This window comes from Homo sapiens, chromosome 7 (genome assembly GCF_000001405.40).
Source record: "Homo sapiens chromosome 7, GRCh38.p14 Primary Assembly".
NCBI lineage: Eukaryota > Metazoa > Chordata > Mammalia > Primates > Hominidae > Homo > Homo sapiens.
In genome coordinates this window covers 79,446,574-79,473,103 of record NC_000007.14, presented here as the reverse complement: position 1 = coordinate 79,473,103, position 26,530 = coordinate 79,446,574, and the positions used below count along the sequence as shown (strand labels likewise).

The 26,530-nt window shown below is 37.7% G+C and overlaps 1 protein-coding gene and 1 long non-coding RNA gene across 16 annotated transcripts in view, besides 1 other annotated feature; one reads left to right on the top strand and one right to left on the bottom strand.

Annotated features, from left to right (window-relative positions):
- Nucleotides 1-1,895: 1,895 nt before the first annotated feature.
- On the bottom strand, nt 1,896-20,147 carry MAGI2-AS3 (MAGI2 antisense RNA 3). 4 transcript variants are annotated; one of them, NR_038344.1, is made up of 5 exons: nt 18,860-19,144; nt 18,097-18,218; nt 14,105-14,257; nt 2,425-2,510; nt 1,896-2,321 (listed from the first exon to the last, which is right to left on the bottom strand). It is a non-coding gene; the product is annotated as an MAGI2 antisense RNA 3 (long non-coding RNA). The 4 variants fall into 4 exon arrangements; NR_038346.1 differs by lacking the exons at nt 2,425-2,510; nt 18,097-18,218; nt 18,860-19,144 and adding exons at nt 19,449-19,517; nt 19,913-20,147; NR_038345.1 differs by lacking the exons at nt 18,097-18,218; nt 18,860-19,144 and adding an exon at nt 19,913-20,147.
- The window catches only part of MAGI2 (membrane associated guanylate kinase, WW and PDZ domain containing 2), a 1,436,613-nt gene continuing 1,429,519 nt past the window's right edge, over nt 19,437-26,530 (top strand). For all 12 annotated transcript variants that reach the window (XM_047421093.1, XM_017012845.3, NM_001301128.2 and 9 more), the window contains exon 1: nt 19,437-20,084. In XM_047421093.1, coding sequence (XP_047277049.1) covers nt 19,784-20,084 — 301 coding nt within the window. In that variant the 5' untranslated portion in view covers nt 19,437-19,783. The remainder of the gene's footprint in view (nt 20,085-26,530) is intronic.
- Nucleotides 20,697-20,991: an enhancer, noted in NCBI's record as "tiled region #13814; HepG2 Activating DNase unmatched - State 1:Tss, and K562 Activating non-DNase unmatched - State 24:Quies". NCBI's record gives its function as "activates a minimal TATA promoter and a strong SV40 promoter by Sharpr-MPRA in HepG2 and K562 cells {active_cell/tissue: HepG2 | K562}" and the evidence as "EXISTENCE:reporter gene assay evidence [ECO:0000049][PMID:27701403]".

Below are 26,530 nucleotides of genomic sequence, written 5' to 3'. Positions count from 1 at the left end.
AAATTAGTCCAGCTGCTGTGGAAAACACTCTGGAGATTTCTCAAAGAACTTAAAACAGAGCTACCATTTGATCCAGCAATCCCATCACTGGGTATATACCCAAAAGAAAATTAATCATTCTACCAGAAAAACACAGCACTCGTATGTTCATTGTCACACTATTTACAATAGCAAAGACAGGGAATCAACCCAGGTGTCCATCAACCATAGATTGGATAAAGGAAATGTGGTACATATACACAATGGAACACTACGCATCCAACAAAAATGAATGAAATCATATTTTTGCAGCAACGTGGATGGAGCTGGAGGTCATAATCCTAAATAAATTAATGCAGAAATAGAAAAACAAATACTTCAAGTTTCTGCTTGTAAGTGGGAGCTAAAAACATGGACATAAGTATGGGAACAACCAGACACTGTGGACTACTGTAGAGTAGAGAGAATGGTGAGTGGGTTAAACAACTACCTATTGGGTACTATGCTCACTACCTGGATGACGGGATCTATACTCCAAACCTCAGCATCACATAATATTCCCATGTAACAAATCTACACGTGTAACCCCTGTAACTAAAAGTTGAAATGAAAAAAAAGGGACATAGGCTTCTGTAGGTATCTCTCACTACCTACTTAAGTGTTGACAGAAGCCTCCTTGTATTCTTAAATCAGAAGGCAGATTAATGTATGTAACTTTCTGAACAATTTCTAGCTTTAAGTATGCTTGACTATAGTGAAAAGGAATCCTAATCTGTTGCCTTCTTCTGTCTTCTAGGTTGATACTTTATTTCTGGATCATTCAGATTGTCTTGTCTTTAAATTTTTCCCCCCTGAAACAGTATTTAAGAATCTTATATACCTCCCAAGCATTGCTTATAAGTACTGTCCTTGCCTACGGTTGATATCACATTGCAAGTTTCCATGTAACATTTTTCCCAACCCTTCTTTATTCATGTTGTTTTACAAGGAACCACATTTTCTGTGTGTTTGATGGATATCAGTACACAGAGGGTAGTAAAATCTAAGGAAGCAATGTCCCTAGCTACCACTAAAATTAAATTATGTTTCAGGAAATGGATGGCTGTTTGAATTTGTGATTGGCAAAATCCCTAAATCTCTGTAATAGGGATGGGCAGTGGGTCAAAAATGCAGCCTTGTTCAGCCTTCTTCCTCCCAAGTGCTGCTCACATTTAAGGGACAATATATGCAAAGGCCTCCAATTATTTATCAGTCCAGCCAGTTCCCATGGAAACAGCTTCCAGACTTTGAGAAGTTGTTTTCCTTCAAGTATTGTTTTGACTCAGTAACTTTTCATCTTCCTTCATTTCAATGAGATGATGTGATGGGGTGGCTTACGTGATATTTAAAGTGACCATTTTTATTATCAAGGCAGACAGCATCTGCACTGACTTTGTACAAAAATGTCACTTTAGGGCTTAAATTACTAATATGTGAAATGGTTATATTACTCTCCCTCCCAAATTAAAGATCACTGGCTATTAATTGTTCTCTATATTCAGAGTGGCTGACAGCTAGAGCAGAAGTCCAAGAGTGAGAAAGAAGCTCATTGTTTGGCTCTATAAATAAATATCTCTTCAATAGGGTATCTTACCATCAGATAAAATAAATGAGTCAGAATTCACACACACACACACACACACACACACACTCCAACCACCAGTGATGACAAGTTTAAAATAAATACATCCTTAAATCATGTTTAATGGGATATATTTGTACCTATTCCCTAAGGAAGTAGACTTAGAATGGGGACATTTGAAGGAGGAGTTAGAGATAAGTAGCATTGAGTGCCCAGAAAGTCATGGTCCCTTTCAGGCTCCTTGAGTACATGTGTGTGCATACATAGGCACATATGACACACATCATCACACTCACACTGAGAAAATAACAGGATTCATCTCCTTTATTCATAAAATTTGAAAGTTAAAATGTATTTAACAGTTTGATAACTAAAAGATCATAAAAGATCAGCCTCAAAATCACAATGAAATAACTGATTTTTTTTCTGAGATTTGATTGTGTTAAGTGTCTGTGGGTCCCTCAGATTAATCCTTTAAAATGGATACTTTTACCAATTTAATGGATATTGTATGAATTTTGATGCATTTAAGCATATGACATAGAAGTCTGTTTCTGCAGATTAACCTTATAATAGCAATGCTTTTATAGCAGGAAGTGTGAAGGTAGGGAGTCTAGGCCCCTTCTATTTTTTTGCTCCATCATCTTTATAGGAAAGCTTTTATCTTCTTGCTTGTCAAATAGCAGCAAGATGTCTTCTCTTTCATCAGCTGTGCTGTAGGCTGGAGAAAGAGAAAGAGACAAAGGGTTGTCTATATTAGAAAAGCAAAAACATTCTAAGAAACCCCTAATGGGTCCATACCTAGTCTCATTGCCTACACTTACATTACATGGCCATGCCTGGTGCCAGGGAGTCCGAGAAGGTGAATATTTTATCTGGCATAAAATTTGAGCAGCAAGGAGCTCTGTCACTAAGGAGGAAGTAGAGAATAGCTTTAGAGTAGGAAATTATTACTGTCTAAAGATTCATTGGTCTCAGGATGCTGTGTAATCACAACCAGTATTTCTAGGCAATTTTCAGGATAAAGTTGACTGTGGATACCTATTCAATTTTGCTGTTTTGGAGGGTTTTCTTTTTTATGGATAGCCATTGTAACAAACATTTTTATATACTTTATTCTTTGCATCATATGAGTGAGAAGGAGGTCATTCTAGGCCATTAATAACTTTTGTGTACTAGAATATTCTTTTTTACATGCTTCATTTAAATGGTGGCTTTAGAGTCCATGTTATGACCAATACTAATCTCTTTTGGACGACACTTAAATTCTAAGTTGCAGCACCTATACCCAAAATCTAAGAATTTCTTAATTATCTCTATCAGTTTCAAATGACTTGTTTTTTTAATGCCCACATACTGATAATAGAACACTAAATATTTAAACTGAGGAACATTCATACAAGAAGCTGTTGTTTTTTGTACAGCTCTACTAGCCTTAACATCTAAAATTCAGTATTTGATAGAAGACTTTTAAGATCTTAAAATTGTTACCTCTTAAATATTTTACATACTTATAAAAATATTTATTAATTATATTCTATATTCCACCAAAATGCAAATCTTAGGTTCTCTACATTTCTCAGAATCAGTCTTTCATATTGATAATTAAGATGGAGAGATTTTTCAATGACAGGTTATTGAAAAGAGGAAGAAAAGGAGCAGGAAAAGAGAAGAGAAAGTGAAAATAGGGTATCTGTTCTAATGTTCTTTCTAAGTGATACTCAGAAGTGAACACAGTACAATTTCCTGAATGCAAATATAATAATAATTCATATGTAATGTAATTTGATATTACAGATTTACATCCAATTTCAAACGCTGTGTGAATTCAATTAGAATTAATTTTATCTTGTCTTACACATATTATTGAATACATTTTTCAAATATAATTTTGATCCTGTTGATTTGAGATGATTTGTGTTTCATAAACATTTGCATCCAAGTATGATATATGACAGGGTGTCAAATATATCACGTGATACACGAGGTTTAGATAAAATAAGATATTCTCTAATTATAAAACAAAACATGTAGAATATTGCATACAAAGTCCTTACCTTATTCGCTTACAGCTAAAGCATTGAGGAAAAAAGCATACACAGAAATTCAATCAAGAAAATAACCAAATAGACATTTAAAACAAAGAAACCCTGCAAAAGAAAATGTGCTCCATATGATACACACGCGTACAGATAAATGTATATTTTAGTTATGTGATATATAGGGATATAAATACATGATGGTATTCTAAAGAACAGAATTGGCAACATTAAATCACTAAGTAACTGTTTTCTCTCATAATGTCCCTTAAAGTCTGCTCTGTAGGGTGATACTCCTCCCCCTAGATAAAATCTTGGTCAGTTCTCCATAGTTATATTAAGTAATAAAATCTTCCTAGTACTTTAGTCATTTAAACTATTCCAGTTTTGAAACTGATAGGTACAGCCAGAGCAGAACAAAAACTCCAACTTTCATTCAAAATTAAGGCTTCTGCACTTGCCTAATCTGCCATGCTACAGAAGGCTGGCCTACGGTATGAAAGTAGGGCCCAGACACTTTTCTATTTTCCCAATTTATCATTCTTCCCCTCCTCAGTTGTTAACTTACACAGTTTATGATGACACCAGGGTTCAAGACGGTGAAGGGAAGACATGTAGGGGCACAAGAAAGCGCGTTTGTTCTGGTGCTTTGTGAGCTGCCGTTGTTGCTGCCTAGGTCTGGCAGGGGTCAAAGCTGATACTTGTTCTTCTTTCCTTTGCAGAGTGTTTCAGTTCCTTCAGGGTTTTTCAGACCATCCATTCCTCTCCCCATTTTGCTAAGGATCCCTTCCTTGCCTGCACTTCACTGACCATAATATGGGTCTCAGCAGTCTATCTCTCCATAGACTCTATCTGTTGGGATTCTACCCTCTTTTAGGGGCCCTTTGGGAAAAAGTCAATTTAAGATGACTCCACGCCAGCTTTCAATCACATTTGTGTGGTCCACGCCTTCTCTATGTATATTTGGTCATGTTCAATTGTAATTTACTCCTCAAAATGAAGCCGTCTATGCTGTTGTCACAAGTGCTATTCTTCAGATGTAGACAGATGTGTTTTAATTAATAAAATCAAAATTAAAAGTATCACTAATTAATAGTTTTTTAATCCTGTAATCATGGAAACAAAACATTAAAAACTATCATGTGTGGTGGACACATTTATTGATGTTAAAAACATTGGGGATCATCAAAATAGGTGAATAACTTCCTTTTACAGATAAAAAGCAAAGAATCAATTTAGTAAAAGTTGTTACTGGCCACGGGCAGACCAAAGCCTTTTATGATGCACTCAAAAGAGGCTGGGGTCTGGAGTCAAACCTAATGAGGTTTCAACCTTATCTCTACTATGTATTAGTTATAAGAAGTTGGTTAATGAGGTTTCAACCTTATCTCTACTATGTATTAGTTATAAGAAGTTGGTCAAGTTGAACAAATTATATAATCTCAGTTTCTTCTATGAAATGGGGATAATAATATCTATGACAATTTTGATGATCAAATAAAATGTAACACATATGGCATCTGTTGTACAGAAACTTCTAAATGATTGCTATTTGCATTGTCCAATACTGGTCAAATTATTTTTATAATAACTGTGGCCTCTTCCAATATTTGTTTTACTTCTGAATTAAAAATAACATATATATGAACATATACACATACATGCATAAATATATTTCTCAAGTTATTAAATTATTACTATGCAATAGTTACCAAGTGTATATGTGATGCATTATTAAAATGAGAACCTTTGTTTTGTTATGCTATCAAAAACAGACTTTAAACTATGCCTTGTTTTTTTTAGATAAAGCAAATAAACCAGTAAAAACAGGCTAGTACTTCTATTGAATTTATATATTTGGGGTTAGCAAACTAAGTAGAGAAGCTCTGGCTTTTCATGAAATAGGGGCGAGATGGACAATTACAGAAAAGTCTGCCACATCCAAGGTCTTGCTGGGAGAAAACTCTAAGAATTCAGACACATAGTCACAAAGCTTTTTATGTTGCAAATCCTGTTTATTTAAATATTTACAACTCCTCATTATCTTTGAACAAGTTATCCATGCTTGTAGCCAAGCAATAGTTAAGCTATTGCTAAACAGAGTCCCCAGAATTGCATCTGTAGCTACTGTATTCATCCAAAGGGAGGATACTAGTATTGTTCCCACATAGATAGTATCACTATTTCCTTCATTGTTTATAACCCTCATTTTATATATATATATTTTATATGCATATACATATGCATTATATATGCATATATATTTTTTATATATGCATTTATTTCAAAATTCTCTCTGTAATGAATGCTTTGATTTTTCCATGTGGGATGAGCTTTTGTCATCTGATTGTTCTACTCCAACACAAATTCAAAACAGCACAGCAAAGATCTATAAAATATCTAGATTACAGCTCTAGATAATCTCTCTAATATCTAGAATTCTAAGATATGTTATCTTTAACTATTAATGGGATCTATTTAAGACTGCTCTTTTCAAGATCAGTATTATTACTATCTATGTCCACTGTATATAGACAATGGATATTTTTCCTTCGAAAACATGAAAAGGGAATTGTGGCTTATTGAAAGTATTAGTATGAACTCATGAATTTAATATGTTTAAATGTACTTAATATATCACATATACATACATTCAAATATTTCCTTTTACATTTCTTAGCTCTGTCTACTGAAAGAGACTAGAAACAATGGCCAATTAATAGCAATATACAAGTCAAATACCCAGATCTTCTTTCTAAATATAATTTGTCACTAGAAAGAACCAAGGCTCCTTGAAGGAAAGGCAGATTTCAGAGCTGGGGAAGACAAATAACAAAATAATATGGAACATCTTGTACCTTAGAAAACATGGAAGTACTTAAAGAATGAGAGGGACGGCTGGGTGTGGCAGCTCACGCCTGTAATCCCAGCACTTTGGGAGGCCGAGGCGATGGATCATTTGAGGTCAGGAGATCGAGGCCAGCCTGACCAACATGGTGAAAGCCTGTCTCTACTAAAAATACAAAAAAAATTAGCCAGGCATGGTTGCACATGCCTGTAGTCCCAGTTGCTCGGGAGGCTGAGGGAGGAGAATTGCTTGAACCTGGGAGATAGAGGTTGCAGTGAGCCAAGATTGTGCCATTGCACTCCAGGCTGGGAGACAGAGCAAGACTCAGTCTCTAAATAAATAAATAAATAAATAAATAAATAAATAAATAAATAAGTAAATAAAAATAAAGAATCAGAGGGACATGTTGAAAGGGCAAGGTACCCAGCTTTAAGGAACCCTGCTGGCCAAATTTTGGAAAATTTGAGCATCAAAATGAAGAATATTAGCATAAAGTCTAACCTATTAAATTAATTAAGAATCCAGGACTCTGTACTGATATAAACTTTAAAAATAAAGAGATAAAGGGACTGATATTAAAGGCTCACATATCATGCCAGGTAATACCAATGACTTTAAGGAAGACCTGCATAGTAGAAGCCTCTCTAAAGAAATTATATAAACCTGAATGACTGGTAAAAGCAAGAAGAAACAGAGTGAAGACTGAAAGACAAAACTCTCTTTAATTCTTTTCTTCTCCTGCTCCCTTGTTTCTCTTGGCTCAATTTACTATGACAGTAACTATGGTATTTCACTTATACAATGTTGTAGAATTAGGAACTGCCAGAAAAGAGGTTTCTAAGGGAACTTCCTGAATGTTTTCACTTTACATGTATTATCGCAGTGGGTTTGTCACTGAAAACAGACCAATGAAAAAATCTCCTTGAAAGCAAATCATTGTTCCTTCTTCCCAACTCTTGCTACATCTCTGACCATTTTTCCTCTCAGTTCCTCATCCAGCTAATCTATTTCTCCCAGGGACTTAAGAATTGGAGAAACTCTCAGGTTCCATGTTAAGAACTCAAGTTCTGGTAAATGTAATGCAATGAATATCTCAAACATAATTCCACTTCTATAACTTAAAAAGAAATCATGAATTCAGCGAATTAGTAACTGGCTTTCAATGCCAACATATTTAAAAGTAGGCTGAAAATATATCATAAGGTATGCTATATGAAAAGTTGAGTTTAAAATTGTATGTCAAAAATTACTTGATCTTTACACAATATTTCCATGAGTTCGGTTTGCATTAAATATGAACGATCATATTTAATATTTTATTGTTTTACATTAAATAATGGTAATATTCTAATGGCTATTGGATTTTAAATAGAACAAATATATCATGGAAACTTCTGAAAATAAATTCCATCTTGTGTTAAATCATAATAACAAAAAGATATTATAATCACTTATTTAAAAATGATTTGTGAGTAACTACTACTAATACTACATACTACATAGTAATAGCACTCTGTAGTACTTCTAATATGTTGGAACATATGTGCCCAGAGATGAATTAATAATGTCTCTGTCCTAAAGAACCTCACCAGTGATAAAAGCAGACATGTAAATCAGTAATTGCAAAGAAATGTGTCAACTGCACAAGACAATGGCAGCTTAAAAATTGAACAATTCAATGGGTGGTAGGCAGGAGACAGTGAGAAGCGGCCTCCTAAAGTAGAGGATGCTTGAAGGGGAGTTTCAAAGATGAGTTCGTTATCAGGAAAGAACGAATGCATGAGAAGAATATTAAACAATGAAAACAGCATACGCAAAGTCACATATGCATGGATTAGCACAATATATGGTGGGAATGGGTTAGGGAAGTTTTAAATTTTAAGTGGGAACCAAATTGTGGAAACCCTTATGAACTAACCTAAGAAGTAGTATAACTGAAGGCATGAAAGAATCAAAGTGAAAATTACCTACTCTCTGGCAAGCCAACTTCCCACTTCAGGACATAGAGTAGGTAATTTTCACTTTCATTCTTGTATGCATGAAAAGAATTTTCATTTCTCCTGGGCCTGAAAAGTCTTTCCTCCAGATTTTTGTACAACTAGATACTGTTCATTATTCAAGTCCTGGCCTAAAACACTTCCTAAGAGAAGCTCTCCCTTACCATCCAGCTAAAGTAGTGCCACACTATCATATCCACCTGTTAACTTTCCATTTCCTTTGTTTGTAAAGCTTTCGATATAGAAACATACAATAAATACCAATTTTACAACTTCATGTAGCATACACAAACATCTCCTTGATTCTTGCAAATTAGACTGAGAAAATCGTGGAAATTGCTAAGCAACGTTTGGTGTAGTGCAAACTCTAGGGATTTGCTGGCTGGCAACATTCCCTTCATCCTGTAATGAACATATTTTGTTCAGTAGTAGCCATATGAGTATGACTAAAGCAAAGAGACCCATTCAGAGATATTTGCATTTTCTTAACACAGAAAGAAAACTTTAGTGCAAAATTATCAGATAGTATGATAAAACATAGTGAAACATTTTGGGGAGGGTGGAAAAGATGTTTCTAGCCCACTAAATCATACCTCATATGCAAAACTTTCTGCTTTTCAAGAGAGACCTACATTTGTCTCCAGAGAAGAGGACTGGGAAATAAATCTCCATTAGTCCTAGGAAATGTAAACTTCTTTTATTTAGCTTTTCCTGATGAAGTGTAGGTTCAGGGAATTTTCATATATAAACCATTATCCTTTAAAATATGTGGGGGCTTATAAACGTAATATATCTGTTGTTCTTTGGTCTGTAAAATATTTCAATAAATTATTGAACTCTTGAAGCCACGAAATCAAACAAACTAAATATATGGTGTCTTTTACTTCTTCAATTTTCATTTTAAAATCCCCAAACACCTATTGTTAACAAATGAAGGAAACATTTCCTTATTTCCTGATCATCCCTACCAAAATATTGTTGACAATAGAAAAAAATTAATTATGGCCTATAGTAGGAAGCATAGTCATTAACAGTATGTCCTGGAAATTTTAAAATTTTATTAAAATGCCTAATCTCTACACTATAAAATATATGCAAACAATAAACTAGATTGGTATATGCAAACAATTTAAGATTGAAACTAGATAGGATTAATTTATAGAACATATATAGCTATTAATTGATCAATATCTTAATGAAAATTAACAGTGCATAAAAATATTCATAATTGTCCTTAAAGAACATGAACTAGGCCGGGCACCGTGGTTCACGTCTGTAATCCCAGAACTTTGGGAGGCCGAGGCAGGTGGATTATCTGAGGTCAGGAGTTCAAGACCAGCCTGACCAACATGGTGAAACCCCGTCTCTACTAAAAACAACAACAACAACAAAAATAGAAAAAAATTAGCTGGGCATGGTGGCGGGCACCTGTAATCCCAGCTACTCAGGAGGCTGAGGCAGGAGAATTGTTTGAACCCAGGAGGTAGAGGTTGCAGTGAGCTGAGATCATGCTGCTGCACTCTAGCCTGGGTGCAACAGAGTGAGACTCCGTCTCAAAGAAAAAAAAAAAGAATATGAGCTAAATTTTATCACATATTTATGTAAAATTTTGAATTGTATCATACGTATTTATTCACAGCATACTTTTATTTACCAAAGTACATCGTACATTATACAAATCTTAATTACATTTACATTATACATTTATAATATTAAAATTGTGCGAGTAGTCTTCAAATATCTGACAACTTTGGGGTCAGTGAATTATTTAAGAAAAAACTCAGAAGAGTTTTGAAAAAGGAGCAGGTGTGATTCTACAAATTCAATATGAGGCACCAGTGGGAGAAGTCAATTGGATGAGCACATGAAATATTAGGAGTGCTCGTGAGGGGGAAGTAACAGGTCTATTGTGTGCAGTGCTGGGCAGGCTGCATATGGAGAATGTGTTAAAAGAGCATTTGCAAACTTAAGCATTACTTGAAGATATTAAACAGAATGATGGAAGCCTGGTCTTTGATTATTTATTGCTGACATATGCATTGCAGTGATGGCATTAATGCCTAATGATTAAGCTAACATGAATTGACAATGAACAAGTCATGCTTTATAAATAAAAAATGCATGTTGTTTGATTTGACTCATTCTTTGTGAACCTATGCTAGCTTCATATTCTTTCTCTCGATGTCCTATTTTTTTGGTCTATAGTTTGTGAGGTTCACCTTTTTCCTCTTTAGAAAATGGTGATAGCTTTGCTTTTCAACTGACTCCCCTAATGTCCACTTTTCTTCAGAGATTACAGACAATGGTTTTCCAAATCTCCTTATTCTTTTATTGCCTTAGGATCTAATTGCAAGCAGTTGAAAGATTAAAATCCTCTAAAGAAATTAAATTATTTCTAATTATCCCATGACCTGTTTTAAACTACAATTTTCTCTTAAAGAAACTTACCCTCCATTTTTCTTTTAAAATTACTCCCTGTGATAGAGAAAGTAGGAGACAACTGTCTCAAAAATCTGCTTGCTCCTCTTGATCTATTAAAATACCATTAAAAATTTTGGGTTTACTTTGCTGGTGTCAGTTGATTTTGTGCTTACTATAATAGATCCATTTGACCCTTTCATATTCATTGATATGTACATGTACTGTTTTTTCCTACTACTGTAGTTTCTCTTATTCATTCAACCTCAGTGAGGAATACAAACATGAGTCATGCTCTCAAAGAAGCCTAGAAGTAAGGCTGAGATATGTCAACAGTGTTGTAATGCAAGCCAGGAAGAAACATGATAAAAGGTTCCAGTAGCATGTACTAAGAGTTCAGTAGATAAGGTTACTTTAGGTGATTATGTATAAATTTTAAAAAAACTTTCTATACGGGCTTTATTTAAGCTGGACTTCTAAAGAATCCCCTATCCAAGAAAATGGTTGGGCCTTAATAGGTCTATAAATTACATGAAATTATATGTAATATTTGGAAAATATGTGTATGCAATATAGAATGTATATATTGTGATAGAGAGAAAAGGGCAGAATAAGACTACTAGTATTCATCATATTCTGAAAGACATCCACACAGAGTAGTGTTTGGAGAGTTTTGCAACATTATTAAAAGAGTATGATTAGAATTACATTCTCATTGCTTCCAAATGTTCATCAGTGTTTTTGCTTCTCAACAATCTAAGCAAGCATGATGAACTTTTCATTGAATTTCTTGAAACATGCTTTTCCAGAGACTAGAAAACACATCTGATTGTTCCTTACTATTTTGCAATATAATATGTTCATTTCCTTCCCCAAATCTTTTCTTCACCTACAAGTTCACTGATAAAAATTAAGCCTATAATATTATTCCTTTGTTTCCTTTCACTTTCTGGGAATTGAAACTGTTGTCATTTTAAATCAACAATAAAATTATATTAAAAATAAGGGGCAGAATTAGAATATGGGCACTAGATATCTTATTAAAATAACAGAATACTCAACTTTTTTTTAATTGTATGGAGACTGATGGGAAACTGAATTCATACACTGAGAAGAGCTACAGAGAATAAAAAGAACAAATTAATATGTGCATTTAGAAAGCAGAGGGAATAGTAATATAAAAAAGGAGTTAAAAACATAAAAGTAGAGATAAGTAGTGTTTCACAGAGTTTTCTGTAAGGGTAAGTGCACGAAAAATGGCAAGATGGTTTTAAAAGATTTAGAATTCACAAAGTAGAAAGTGACAGAAATTGAACTACTCACTTAAATTTAAAAAGAGACGGGGGGATAGATTCAGCTACTTGATGGCATGAAATCAAAGTACTTGAATTTTTGAAGTGTATTTAAAAATCTAGTAAAGAATGCCTACAATTACAAAAGGTATGAGATTGTCTTTTTGAGTTTAGTAGAATATAAACTGACGACAAAAGACTGACAGGCACCAAATAAGTAGAGTGTAAAACAACAACAAAAAAAAGAAAGATAAATTCAGGTAATGATATTCAAGCAGTATGACTGCATAAGATTGCATAAGAAAGAATACATTTCCAAATCCAAAACAATATCATCCTGTTGTATTATATGCATATATTGAATACAATAACAAAAGTATCAAGAGTTCTTATTAAAGCACCCATTATCATTTATGTAAAATATTGCAAGACTTTAAAGTCACAGAACAAAACATATTTTTTCCCCATTATCTTTTTTGAGATGATCACATTTCTTCACACTTTGTGAACTGCGTAGTTAAGATGGAGCAATGATTTGAACTATTTGCAAATGCAGTTCCTTCCCCACTCTTTATATACTGTTTGGGCCATGAATCTATGGAAAGAGGTGTTTTACAAGAACGAAAGTCACATCATTCAGGACTTTCTAGCATAAAATGATCTAATATGCTTAGATTTAAGTGGTCAGATTTTGCCCCTTCCTCCCTTTCCTCTCCATGTTCCCAGATCATTTCCAGAGAGATAAGTAACTAATTGACAGTGTTGTTTGAGAGTAAATTCCTGAGTTATATAGAAGTTGGAACAATTATTCCCTCATAAAACTAAAACAAATTCTACAATAGTTACATGAAATGCAGAAGCACAATCAATGAACATTAATTCTTGACTGAAATGAAACAGCCCTGGTGTTTTCATGCAAACTTAGCTGCTATAAACCTAAAAGATGCAATCACCAAAAGATGTGAAGTCTTGAGGTAAAGATTAGCACTATAAATGCCATTTGATATCAGATGAAATATGCATTTCTGTACATGTGTTTAGAAGAATCTAAGCCCCTAAAACTTCTCCTCACTAACCCCAAGATGCCTGAATTTCTCAACATTAAGTTTTCACATCGTAATACAGTTTTCTTTCCTGGTGTTTCCTCTTCTCTCTGCCTAGTAAAGGATGTTATAAAATCGCAGTTCAATGTTTTTTTCTCTTCTTGTATTTTCCACTCTGCTGGTTATGGCCAATGAGTCAAGATTCAAAGTGTTCCCATATATATCTCTGCAGCTCAAACTCTCCAGAACTTGGGCTTGTATTTCCAGTTACTGGACTTAAGCTGGGCACACCCACAGTGTCCCTGGACTGGGTGAGGAATGCTGGAAACCACTGCATAAACATGAAAAATCATTCCGTAATTTAGGCAAAGTTTGGAGAGAGAGTCACATTTTATAATAGTACAAATACGAACCTACAAAAGAGTAGAATCCCAGACTGGGCCAAGAATGCTGGAAACCACTGGATAAACATGAAAAATCATTCCATAATTTAGGCAAAGTTTGGAGAGAGAGTCACATTTTATAATAGTACAAATACGAACCTACAAAAGAGTAGAATCTAAAATCCACATGAATCTTTAGACGAAAACTAGAGATGAAATAAAGTTGCTCTTAGTGGGGTTAGGTGAGTATGTCATTGTTAGAGACAGTGATAGAGAAGTCTAAGAAACTCCATACTGTGCTAAATAAATCCACCTTTTAAGTGTGGATTCCTATTTTTGTGGGCTTTTGTTTTTTATTTTACATTCAAGGGGTACAACTGCAGATTGGGTTAACATTTTTGTGTGAATATTGAAACAGTTGTGAAAGGAAGTTTATTAATAGGAATGACCACAAACTATGAAATAGACTGAATTTGTGTCTCACCATGTCATCACCATCTCTCAACTCTGCACAGACCCAGTGCTGTCCCTGGCTCTTGAAGACACTGGTTTCTTAACCTCAGCTTCATGGATAAGTACATTTTGTCTTTTCTTCATTGATATGTGCTCTCCTGCATTCTGTTATTGTAAGACATTACTGTGAATGTAAAGAGATAATCATTTAATACTATCAGTAAGAATTCATATATATTCTTTTTTTTTTTTTTTTTTTTTTTTTTTTTTTTTTTTGAGAATGCAGTCTCCCTCTCTCACCAGGCTGGAGTGCAGTGGTGTGATCTCGGCTCACTGCAACCTCTGCCTCCTGGGTTCAAGCGATTCTCCTGCCTTAGCCAAGAATTCATATTAAAGCAGTCGTCATTTAATGAAATTTTGGACACCCTCACTTCAGGCACATCTGCTATCAGGCAAAATTCTACTCAGCTTTTACACTGTGTCAGACAATGTGCCAGACACTAAGAATGCAAATAAAACATAGAACCTGAAAAGTTGTGTTTCTTCAAAGGATACATGGAGACATAAATAAAAGCTGTGTTGATAACAGAAATAAGAGTCATAAAATGCTTCCAAGAAAGAAAGTGGGCTCAGAGGTATTTCTTTCAGGGTGAGCAGGTGTAGACCAGGGAGGGAAAGAGTTGTATTTCAGGCAAACACAAGCCATGAAATGGCCTAGTGAGAGAAGGAAAGTAAGCCGTTCAACTCTGGAAGAAGTAAAGGGTTGAAAGGAGAAGTGAAGACACAGGCCTGACCCTTAGGTAGGACCCCTGGCTCAGCTGTCCCAGTCCCCAGACATGGTGGGAGATTGACTCAAGTCAATGTACCTTACTGCCCTTACCTGAACATCATTACATTTCAATGTTGAAATTCCTGTTTTTAATTATATTCCAAGGGACCTAGAATAGATGGCATAAAGGGGCCTCCTTTCAGTTGTGTTAATCTTGGAGAACCCACATTAGCTTTGTTGCCCTGGGTTCCAATCTCAGAAGTACATGGAGAAATATGGCTGAACAGTTAAAAAGGGTGGAAAGGAGGATCCAAGCAAGATAAGGAGTTTGGACTTTGCTGTGTATTTCATGGGCGGCACTGGGGGGTTTTAAACACAGAAAAAAGGAGAGGTTTCAGAAAGGTCTCTCTGGCATCACAATAGAGATTTTTGAGGTAAAAGACAGGGAGAAAGAAAAACAAACAACAATAATCGTGGAGTAGTGATATTGACAGACTGAACTAAGAAACAGTGTGGATAAGAAACTTTATGCTCTACAGTACTGCAGTCAGCAGAATAATGGTCCCTCTAAAAAAGGTACCACAACTCTATCTCTTATTAGTAGTGTGATTTGGGGCAATTTAAAAGCCCTGATCCTCAGTTTCCTCATCTGTAAAAGAAAAAAAAAAAAGAATAGCAATGTCTTAAGTCAGGATCCCCAGGATCAAACCCTGAGATGAAGATTGTCTGCAAGTGATTTATTATAGAAATGCTACCAAGAAAAACTCATCAGGTACCACAGTAAGCAAGATAGGGAAGAAGGTGGTTTCAGGCAAAATATTAACATCAATATAATTCTATAGGGGAGCCTCAGGGTGTAAATTACACCTCAGGTTTTCTTGCTACTAGAGGCAAGACGGCTGGTCTTTTATACTCTATAGGAAAGTCCTTGGCAAAGGGTATCCTGGGAAAGAAGTAAACTTGCAGGTGGTTCTGTCTGGCTCTCTATGCCAGTACACAAAGTGAGTCTAGTAGTGTTTGGGCCTTCCTCCAAAGAGATTCTCGGGGCAGGCTGTGAGAAGTAAAAGAACACAGAAGCTAGAGGAAGGATACTCAGATTCAACCAAAGGGATCCTAGGAGATCTGGGTGGAGACTATGTCTGCCACAAGCATCTATCTCATAGAACTCTTCTAAGAACTGAATGCATTCATATCTTTCTTTCTTTGGCTTTTAGGATTCCTAAACTATTTTTCTTCTGGAATAGCATGCAATATTTAGCACTCTGCTCTACACTCAGAGTGCTCAGTGATGAAATAATTTTTTCTTGACATAGCATCAAATCCAAAAAGGGTAAAGGCAGTGGAGAAATTAAGCGAATATGAGGAATACCATAAGAGAAAGAAAAAAAATCTGATCCCAATTTCTGACTCCAAGGATAGTGCTTTCCTCAGGGTTCCACTTTTATCAGTTAAGATCCAGTCAAAGGGTATTGACTATTAGGACAGGAAAAAATCCCACTAAAGAATACAGTAATAGTGGTTATTGGGAACAGCCACTATCTCTCAGGCTCTAGGAGAGTACCCAAGGAGGGAATAACTGAGTAGAACTTCCCCCTACCCACCCTCCACCCTACTAAGCCTGAAAGTAGGCGCTCATTGGAAATAATATGGCTGTGGTCCACTTAATGATCCAGAAATTTAAGGTGTCACACACTGGGCTGCTGAGGAAACCATCAGCTGTGTTTTCAGTAAAACTTGCTAGGAAGCCATTCCACTGACATGCCAGTGGTACTCCATAGAAAGACACATACTAGGGAACTGGCCAAATTTACTGAAGATTATGTAACATGGCCTTCTTGCACACCACTGGTCAGAAAGTCACTCACTGGCCACCACACCGTAGGAGCAAGCAGGAAAGCACTGGAACCAAGAAAAGGAGCCCCTTTCTTTCTGCAGTGTTCCCCTAGCACCTTCTATTGACAAAGCTAAACACTGTGCCAACTGACCATAAAGACGTTTACAGATTTCAGCTCTAATGTCACAATTTAGGGCAAAGAAGGGTAGCTGTGAAGTTGAAGAGCACTAAGTTAACTGGCACTGACCTCAGTGACACTCCTGGGATTTGGGGGATGGGAGGAGCATGCTGTTATGCCCAAATCCTGCTCCGTTTGTTTACTTTTTTCCTAATTGTCTCTGAAAGAAAGAGCAGGCCCAATCTTTTGGGACACTATGTAGTGAGAACTGGTATGACACATCGTAAGTGCACAGAGAGTTCAATTCAGTAACTGAGACAAAGTCTAGAGCCGAACCACTTGGGTCTGAACGTTAGCTTCACTATTAACAAGATTTGTAGCCTTGCAAAAGTTCATCCTTGTATACCTCAGTTTCCTTACCTGTAAAAGGAGATAACAGTACCTATTTTATCAAAATGTCAGGAGAAATTAAGTATTATGTGTAAAGCCTATAAAACAACATCTTGCATGTAGTTAGAACCTAATAAATATTAGTATATTCCATGAATGGTAGCTTGTCATTTGGTTTTACAATATGTATATATTCGGTTCTCATGATGAGTTTCCATTTAGAACTATGCCTCATAATGCTAACACTCAACTTCTCTGGGTGAGATTAGGCTTTGCTATCAAGTCTTGCCTACTCCTGGGCATTGCCTGCAGCTCTGGCTTCAGATCCTGGCACTGCCCCTGGCTCACTGAATAAGCTTCAACTAGTGCAGCCAACTTACGGAGGATCTGTTTTCTCAAGTGAAAAAAAGACACAAGGTTAAACAAATCATCTTTTTTTAAGATCTCTTCCAGTTCTGACTACATTTGATCCCCCTCATCCCCAAGTAGTAAGTTATACCTAAGAGGGAAAGAGGAGGGAATTATCATTTCGAACTCCTACTCACCTGTGCCAGGAGAGCACTGCTGTGACTGATTTCCCTGATTTCATCCTCACCACAGTCCTAACAGATTAGTATTGTTAAAGTCCATTTAACAACTAAGAAAGCTGAGGCTCAGGAAGGTCAAGCAGTTTACTCAAGATCATATTCTCAGTAAGCCGCAGAGTCTGGATTGAAACCTGGTCTTTCTGTTTGGGTCGACTCAACATTTTTAACCGTATTGTTTGCCTCCTACATCGCCTTCATCTCAGACATTAAGAATCCTACCTATTCAATGCTTTTCATCCTCCGCTTTAAAGAGATAAGTGGGTGCACAACTTTTTTTTTGCCTGAAACATATCATCTAAAAGTTAAGCAAATGAAATTCATTTACCAGTTACAGGAATCTTTTTCTTAAATCACTGTTAATGTCTCACAGGAAATTAGCTCTTCAGTGGAAATCAGCAGCCTCCCTGCATCCTTTTGCCCCTGTCCTCCCCTCTCTTGGATGCAAACCTGGCGAAAAGAAGGGAACACTGCTTGGGGTCAGCGAGCTGAGTTCCAGCTCCGAATGTACCATTTTCACCCTCGGGAGTCTTCTCCCCTTTCTCTGTGAGCAAAGGAGTGTTGGGCCAGACCGTCTTAAGGATTCTTCCCCAGGTACAAGCCGGACTCTGGCGGCTTTCCTGGGCAAGGGAGTGTCTCCGCCTTGTCTCTGCCGCAGGTCCCTGGTTAAATTGTCAATTTCTCTGCGGAGGCTGCTCACTGCATCCGCTCCCTCCACCCCTAGCCCTGTAGACCCCTTCTCTTTCCCCTACTTGGGAAAAGTGAAGCCCCTTATCCTTGGATAGCCTTTCACCAGACAACCGCAGCCGTCCGCTAAATTCCCCTACTGGCGGGACGCGCGGGCGGGGGCCTGCCCCGGGGAATGCGAGGCTGCTTCCCTTCTGCGTAATCAGGGTACGCAGCCTCCAGTTCTCTAACTTTCTCCTTCTCTAAGAGGGAATTTCGAGAACTTTAAGACAAATAAGTGACTATATAGATGAAGACATGAAACCTCTCTACACAGTGAACTCCCCCACGCTACAAGGCTCCCAGGGATCCCAGGCCTTCTCCCGCAATGCCCCGCCGGGTCCCCCGCCCCAACTCCTTCTCACGGCAGGATCCCGCGCCAGGACGCTCGCAGAGCCCGAGATGTGGCACCAGGCGCGCCACAAGTCCAGGTCCCGCTATTTCTGCTCCATCGGAGCCCAGGTCGGAGGGAGTCAGCGCGTCCTCCTCGCACAGGAGCCTGGCGCGCGGCTCGGTCGCACAGAGGCTGAAGAAAGGTCCGCACTGGGCTCGAGGCCCTTCCTGCCGGCCTCCCCACGCCGGGCCTAGGCTCCCCTCCTTCCCGGCTCCCGCCTCCTCCCGTAGGCTGCCAGGCGGACCCAGCCTGCCTCTCTCTCTGCCTTCACTACCGGGTCAAGCTGCGGAGGGAGGGAGGGAGGCAGCGGCGAAGCCCTCCGTGGCTCCCCACCCGGCGCGCGCGCCCCTCCTCCCCTGCCTCCTCCCGTCTGCCAGTACAGTAGAACTAGTACACACACACACACACACACACACGCACACGCACCCTGCCACTGCAGCTGCCATGGATATCAGCTAACAACACACACCCAGGCGCGCGCGCGCGTTCCCACTCGCACCACGCAGGAGTGGCCCCCGGCATCCCTACCCTCCTTCCCCACCCCCACCACACCCGCTCACCAGCTCGGCTACTGCTCGCTCCGGCTGCCGCCGCCGCCGCCGCCGACGCCACCACCACTGCTTCCTCTGCTGCGGGGCCACAGCCTTGAGTGTCATTCAAGGGACAGCACAACCTCATCCAAGCTCTCCTACCTCTGCCCAGCCGTCCCTCTCATCCTCCCCATTCCTCGTCCACACTCCATCCAAAGAAGAGGGAAAGCACCGAATAGAGGGGGGCGAAGGCAAAGTCTGCTGTTCTTCCCCCTGGGCCCCCTTGCTCCTCCATCCTCATTCTCTCACCACCAGCCCCCCTAACCCCAAGGAGCCCAGGAACTGAGGCGACTCGCCCCACTGCCATGTCCAAAAGCTTGAAAAAGAAAAGCCACTGGACTAGCAAAGTCCATGAGAGTGTCATTGGCAGGAACCCGGAGGGCCAGCTGGGCTTTGAACTGAAGGGGGGCGCCGAGAATGGACAGTTCCCCTACCTGGGGGAGGTGAAGCCCGGCAAGGTGGCCTATGAGAGCGGCAGCAAATTGGTGTCGGAGGAGCTGCTGCTGGAGGTGAACGAGACCCCCGTGGCGGGGCTCACCATCAGGGACGTGCTGGCCGTGATCAAACACTGCAAGGACCCCCTCCGGCTCAAGTGTGTCAAGCAAGGTGAGAGCAGCGGCTTGCTCAGTGTTTTGCCGGGCGGTGGGACCGCTCGGGGCGCAGGGCAATGAAAGGGTGGCCGCGCATGTTGAAGGGGGTGTGTTGCGCGATGATGGGGTGGGGGCCAGAGAGCACCCGCAGTGCAAGTGAGTTTCGCCGGGGATTCGACTTGGGGGCTAAAGGGAGGGGAGGGGCAGGTTGTGGTGTGGCGTGCAACTTTGTTTGCTCAGTTAGACCCTCCCCTTTGGAAGGTGCTCGGCCTGGTCTGACCTCCTCAGAGCTGCTGGGGCAAATTGAATGTGCGTCAGTGGCATCACCCGAAGCGGATGAAGAGCTTTTGGGGAAGGGAGGAAGGAAGAAAAGAAAGAAAGAATGGGAGGAAGGGAGGGAAAGAAGGAAGGAGCAACTTCAGGGTGCAGCGGCATCACCAGCGGGTCTGGGAAGAGAAGGTGGTGGGGTGAGCGGAGAACTGCGTCCAGCGTTTCTGGGGCTGGGCTGGGGGCGCCTGGGTCCCCAGCTGTCCCTTAGGGATCCGTGAGCCACCGCTGGCGAAGAAAAGAAGGGACAAATTGCTTTGGGCGCTTTGACGGGTCTTCTGTAACTTTTCCCCTTCTTCACTCCGTGTCCCCCTCCCCCGCTCACGGTCGTGTCATGTGGGCATCGCGCGTCACGTGCGTACTGACTAACCCCTGCGCTCACCCCTAGCCAGCCCGGGGGAGGAGGCTCCGGAAGAAGGCGCGGTGCTAGGAGCGCAGTCTAGTGCTGGGCGGGGGTCGGAGGAGATGAATGGTTGTCGGAGGAGATGAATGGTTGTCCGCATGGACTTTACTCAGGGGTTGCCCTCATTGAGTGGAAGTCCTCTGTGGTTGGGCTCTCCTCTGGCTCCGATTTGGGGGGCGTGTTTTGGGGGAGGAGCTGGATGAAACCCTGGCCGGTTCCAGCCCAGGCTCCCTCAGCTCCAACCTGACTTAAATGAACCTCAATTGGAGGCTGTGATGTGGATTTGGGGAGATTGGAATCATCCAGAACTCCCTGTCTTTGCTCGAAAGAAAATTATGGTGCAGAAGGAGAGAAGAGTGAGATAAAAGTTTGAATAGAGGACAACTTTAAGTAGAATAAAGTAGTAGCTTTTTTCTTTTCTGTTTTCTTTTTTAGCTCACTGCACAATTCGTGTGCGGTATGTATGGATATTTGCGTCACAGGCATATTAGCATAAGGGTTTGTTGTTGTCGTCGATGTACACTGTTTGTCCTGACTCAAAGGTGGAATTGAGCATGTCATTACCTGCATTTTGCCGCTTAATCATGATCAACTACTAAGAAATGCTTTTACGGAGATGTACCGCACTGTTAAATTATTCTCTAAAAAACTTGTTTTAAAATAAACAAGATAAAAAGAAGTACTGGGCAAGGTTTCTTAAATGTAAATTGCCATACAAGAAAATGTTTTCCTTGGGTATTCTTGAGTATTAAGAGGTAATAAATTGAGATAGGTTATTATAAGTCAACATAGCTCCATACTATTTAACACTGAAGGGATATGAGTTTGGTAGGAAGGAAAATAGAGTAACTTGATATTTTTGAAGATAAGATACCTAAGGTTCAAATACAGAGATTCATGTTAACATGTTCGATGTCAAAATACCACCTTATAGGAATAGACATAAATGGAAAGATCTTTGGGTACGAAAAGTCTACTACACAACTAATGACCATGGTTTTGTTGGCCAAATGCTTGATATTTGTCATGGAACGTGGCTGCAAAAGTTAAGCGTTGTTAAATTGGACTTAATAGAGTCCCACAAACGGATGCCCTATTATAGTTTGCAATGATCATCACATCTTAAATGTTGTGTTCAATTCTGAGCACTCCTTGTTGAGGCGGACGTTGGCAAACTGTCACGCTAGCAAAGAGTAAGTTCAAAAGAGAAATAAAGGAAGATTATTGTGTATTATAGATGTATTCTATGAAATGCCGTGGAAAGACTTAACGTGGAGAAGTGAAAGAATGAAAGCTATCATTAAATAGCGAAAAGCTATCAGGTAAGAAAAGGAATTCTGACTATCCTGTGATAGCCCACAGGACAAAATGGTGATAAATCTATGAGAAATTTGAAAGGATGAAGCAGCTTTACTTTCATTAAATCATGAGCTTTCTAACAGAGTTTTCCAAAAATTTGTGAGCACCCTGTTGGCTGAAGTTCCCATCATTGTGGGTATCCATGAAGAGGCTGAAATGACCATATGCCAGGGATTCCTATATAAGATGAGGACCTGGATTAGATATTATTTGAATCTTGCCATAATTTGATCTAATGTGGTTGGAGATCACTCTTGTATTGAATTTTATGTGGAAGATTATTGCTTTTAGAACTCAGAATATATGCTTCTAAAGTGATATATTGAGGGGAAAGTCTCTTTTCATTCTATATTAACCCTCAGTTTCGTGCTTCACTGGTTCATTGATGATAAATTTGTATAATGATAGCCAGAGAGCCCACAGTTGGTTCATCTCCTGAACCACTGCTGACCAAAAACAAAACAAAACAAAATATTTCTTTTACCTTTTGTGGAATAATTAATTCTCTTGTATATTCTTTTAAATATGATTCATGTTGCTATTCTAATAATTCTTTTCCTCGTCAAATCATAGATTAATTTTATTTATGATTATAAAAAATGAAATTTTTCAGAACCTTTACTATAGTGCCTGTGTGTCTTAGGTTTCAATACAGATGTCATTTACTGGAAAATCATTTAGAAACTCTTGGCCCAGTAGTTATGTTTCAAGAGATGCAAAAGCTAGCATAGCTGAAAAACTTAAACATGGTTTGTTTAGCAGTTGCGTTTTTAAAACATTAATGAGACTGATTTTTGAATATTCATTCAGACATTGGGTATTATACAGAAACTACAAGAATTATCATAGTTTAAGGAAGATTTTATAAAGAAAAGGTAAGATTTGAATAATAAGAATATTGTTAATAAGTGCACCAGGTAAAATTGCATTATTTACTTAATTTTATTTACTTGTTTGCCTAATTTTACATTACAGTTATCATAATTTTCATCTGTCATAATTTTAAAAGGAGGTGAGCTCCTTTTAAAATGTTGGGATTTTAAGACATTATATATATATATATATATATGTATATATCTCACAGTGTTTCTACACTGTTTAAATACCTGCAAAACAATTTTTAAAACTGTTTAATGAAATTCAAGGAATTATCTTTTTAATTTAAGCTTTCTGCTTTTAATCCACACAATAATAAACCACATATTAAAATATGGCTTATTGTCACATCCAATTCTTTTTTATAAACTATGGCATTTTATTTGTAATAATAAACTTTCCTCACCAAAGTATGTAATTCTAAATTAGCAGTAATTCTATGATCTCGTTAATGCATCAGACCCAGTTGAAGAAAGTTTTTTGAGTGATGTTGAGATCTATATGGAAGTGCTAAAGGTCTTCTTTCCTTTTTCTTTTCCCTTTTTTAAGGTTTGCCACTAAAGTTCACAGCAGCCAGTTACACAGGCCTTTGTGGCCTACATTCCTTGCACTATGGCTGCTATTGCATCTAATACCACATAGAGACCTACATAACCTGGACTTATTTTCCCATTTAGGGTCTCACAATGGGAAATAAAAGGCAAAAAAAAAAAAAAATTCTAATTCTTCCCATGTGGAAGATGGGCCAAATAAATCCTTTGAAATTCAGTTTTAGAGAAGATCTACATTGCTCTCCCTCCTACTGCTCCTTTCAAAGATACCTTCAAAGGAAAGTAGATCCACATTTATTAAGAGTCATACTTTCTTCTTGACTGACTTCAGGCTTAGAATAATAGAGTCAGATCTCTATACTCCTTTGTATCTGAAAAGGTAAAAACAAATTATGTCAAATTTTCTGAAAATAAAGATTGACTTTTTTTCTGTAGAAATGTGAGGTATATGAATAGTGTTGTTTAATAAACAAAACATTGTTTAAACATTTTGATCAGTTTATTATTTTAGAAATAAAGTACCATTAATGTTTTGAACAAGGTTAATGAGACGGTTCTCTTGGGGCATAATTTATAAGTGATACCACTGTAGTTTTCTGGTACATGTAGATAATTTAAATGGTATGACCTCGAATGTTAAATATGATTATTTGCTTTTTATCTGTACTGTCCCTATTCTTAACATTTACACTGTTTAATCTTTTGGCATGTTTATTATGCTCACTTTCCTTTTCATTGCTTGTAACTCACAAATTCACTTTCATAATGAGAAAAGCATATTCACATTTGACATCTCTGATTGATTATAGTTTAATTAATGACTTTCAAATACATACAGACCCTGGCAGAATCATTTTCCTCAGAAGGTGGGGTAGAGCAATGGTTAAAGGTACAGTCTCCTAAGTAGACCACCTAGTTTTAATTCCTGAGTATGTCAGTTAGTGCTAGCTATATGTACAAGATAACTAACCTGGGGTAGTAATGGCACCTTAAGAATATTAGATAAGTTATGTATTTAAAGTGTGTAGTGTCTGGCAGGTGATAAGCATTATGTAGATTTTAGTAAATGCTATTGCAAACATATTGGTCATTTTGAGCTAGTGACATTATGAGGTGTTTTTAATTTTCAAGATATTTTACTCAATTCAAATTAACTGAAAAATATGAAATGATTGACATTAATATAGAGTATTTTGCAAGTTGTATTTTAAGGTTTTTTTGCAGAATGAAATAAATATTTTATTTGAAAAGAATTTATTTGAAGAATAATATCAATAAATACAATGGAAAATATTTTCACTTTTTAAAAATAACTTCCACTGATCCTCCCTTTATGTGTAAACATCTGCTATTTTATATTTATTTTATACTTTAGACATAGTTTATTTTTACATAGTAATTTGTTTTCTTCATACCGCATATCTTTACTCCCAAAGAATTGCTGAATATATTGAATTATTTACTCTAAACTTGACAACATAGAAATCCTATTAGAATTTATTAAGTTTAGGAGTTTATACTTCTTATATTAATACATCATTGTAGTTAAGAGTAAGTATCATGCTGTTGAACTTTTACTTCTCAGCTAGAAATTAAGCACCTCATAAAGAATAACAATAATAAAAGTTAACTCTTAAGTGTTCACAGTCAACAATGTATAATAAAGAGGAAATGCATCAAATTCAGCAAAAATAATACTTTGCATTTGTGAGTATTGCAATGTAAATAAGTTAAAAGGCTATTTGTATTGCATTTTATAGTATTTTATACTATACTATTTTATAGTATTTTATGGTACTGTTAAAATACCATTAAATTTAAATACTATTTAAATACTATTAACGTACTATAGTACTATTAAAATACTATTTTATAGTATTTTCATACTTTGTATGAAAGAAATGCAATATAAGTAAGTCTGTGTATTAATACTGTTACAAGGTGAAGCAACCAACAATACTTCCACTGCTAGCTTCCCCATAATTTTAGCATTTTCGTTGAATTAATCCTATTTTACAGTTCAATGGAAACATCTACCTTGAAGCTCCAGGGTTCAGTATTAATTTCTAAAAATCTCTCCTAGCTATAATCTGGCTATATATTATGACAACAAACATACAACTGCCTTAGTTTAGTGACTTTATTATTACTTACTCCATTCTATTCTCAGCTCTCTTCTGTCTCTAGTAAGTATTTGTTATATTTCCTTTAATAAAAGTAAATTATCTTATATAGAAAACTTAGTAATATAATAATTGCTGAATTTACATTGTTAAAGACTTGCATAGGGACATACATAGTACAATGTCCATATCATCATAGATAATTAATAAAAATTGCTTTTATTATTACGTCTTACTGACATCTTTGTCAACTCTAAAAGGACTTCATATTGAGATATTTTTAAAAAAGTTAAAATTTGTGTTAAGTTTAATATATATTGTTGACTGTTTTGAGTGGTCTGGAAGAAACAATAAAAGTTTCCTTCTTTGATAAGTTATTGAATATTAACTCAATTGCATCCCATTGATGTACTTTTATTTTTTCACTTATTTATTATTTTTTTTTGAGACGGAGTCTCGCTCTGTCGTCCAGGCTGGAGTGCAGTGGCGTGATCTCAGCTCACTGCAATCTCCGCCTCCCGGGTTCACGCCATTCTCCTGCCTCAGCCTCCTGAGTAGCTGGGACTACAGGTGCCCGCCATCCACGCCCGGTTAATGTTTTTGTATTTTTAGTAGATATGGGGTTTCACCGTGTTAGCCAGGATGGTCTTGATCTCCTGACCTCGTGATCCACCTGCTTCGGTCTCCCAAAGGGCTGGGATTACAGGTGTGAGCCACTGCGCCCAACCCCCATTGATATACTTTCAAAGATCCATTAGGCTAATGAGTGGGTGATTTATATGAATGGCTAGATTTGTTTCAATATTTGAAATAATTAGATGGC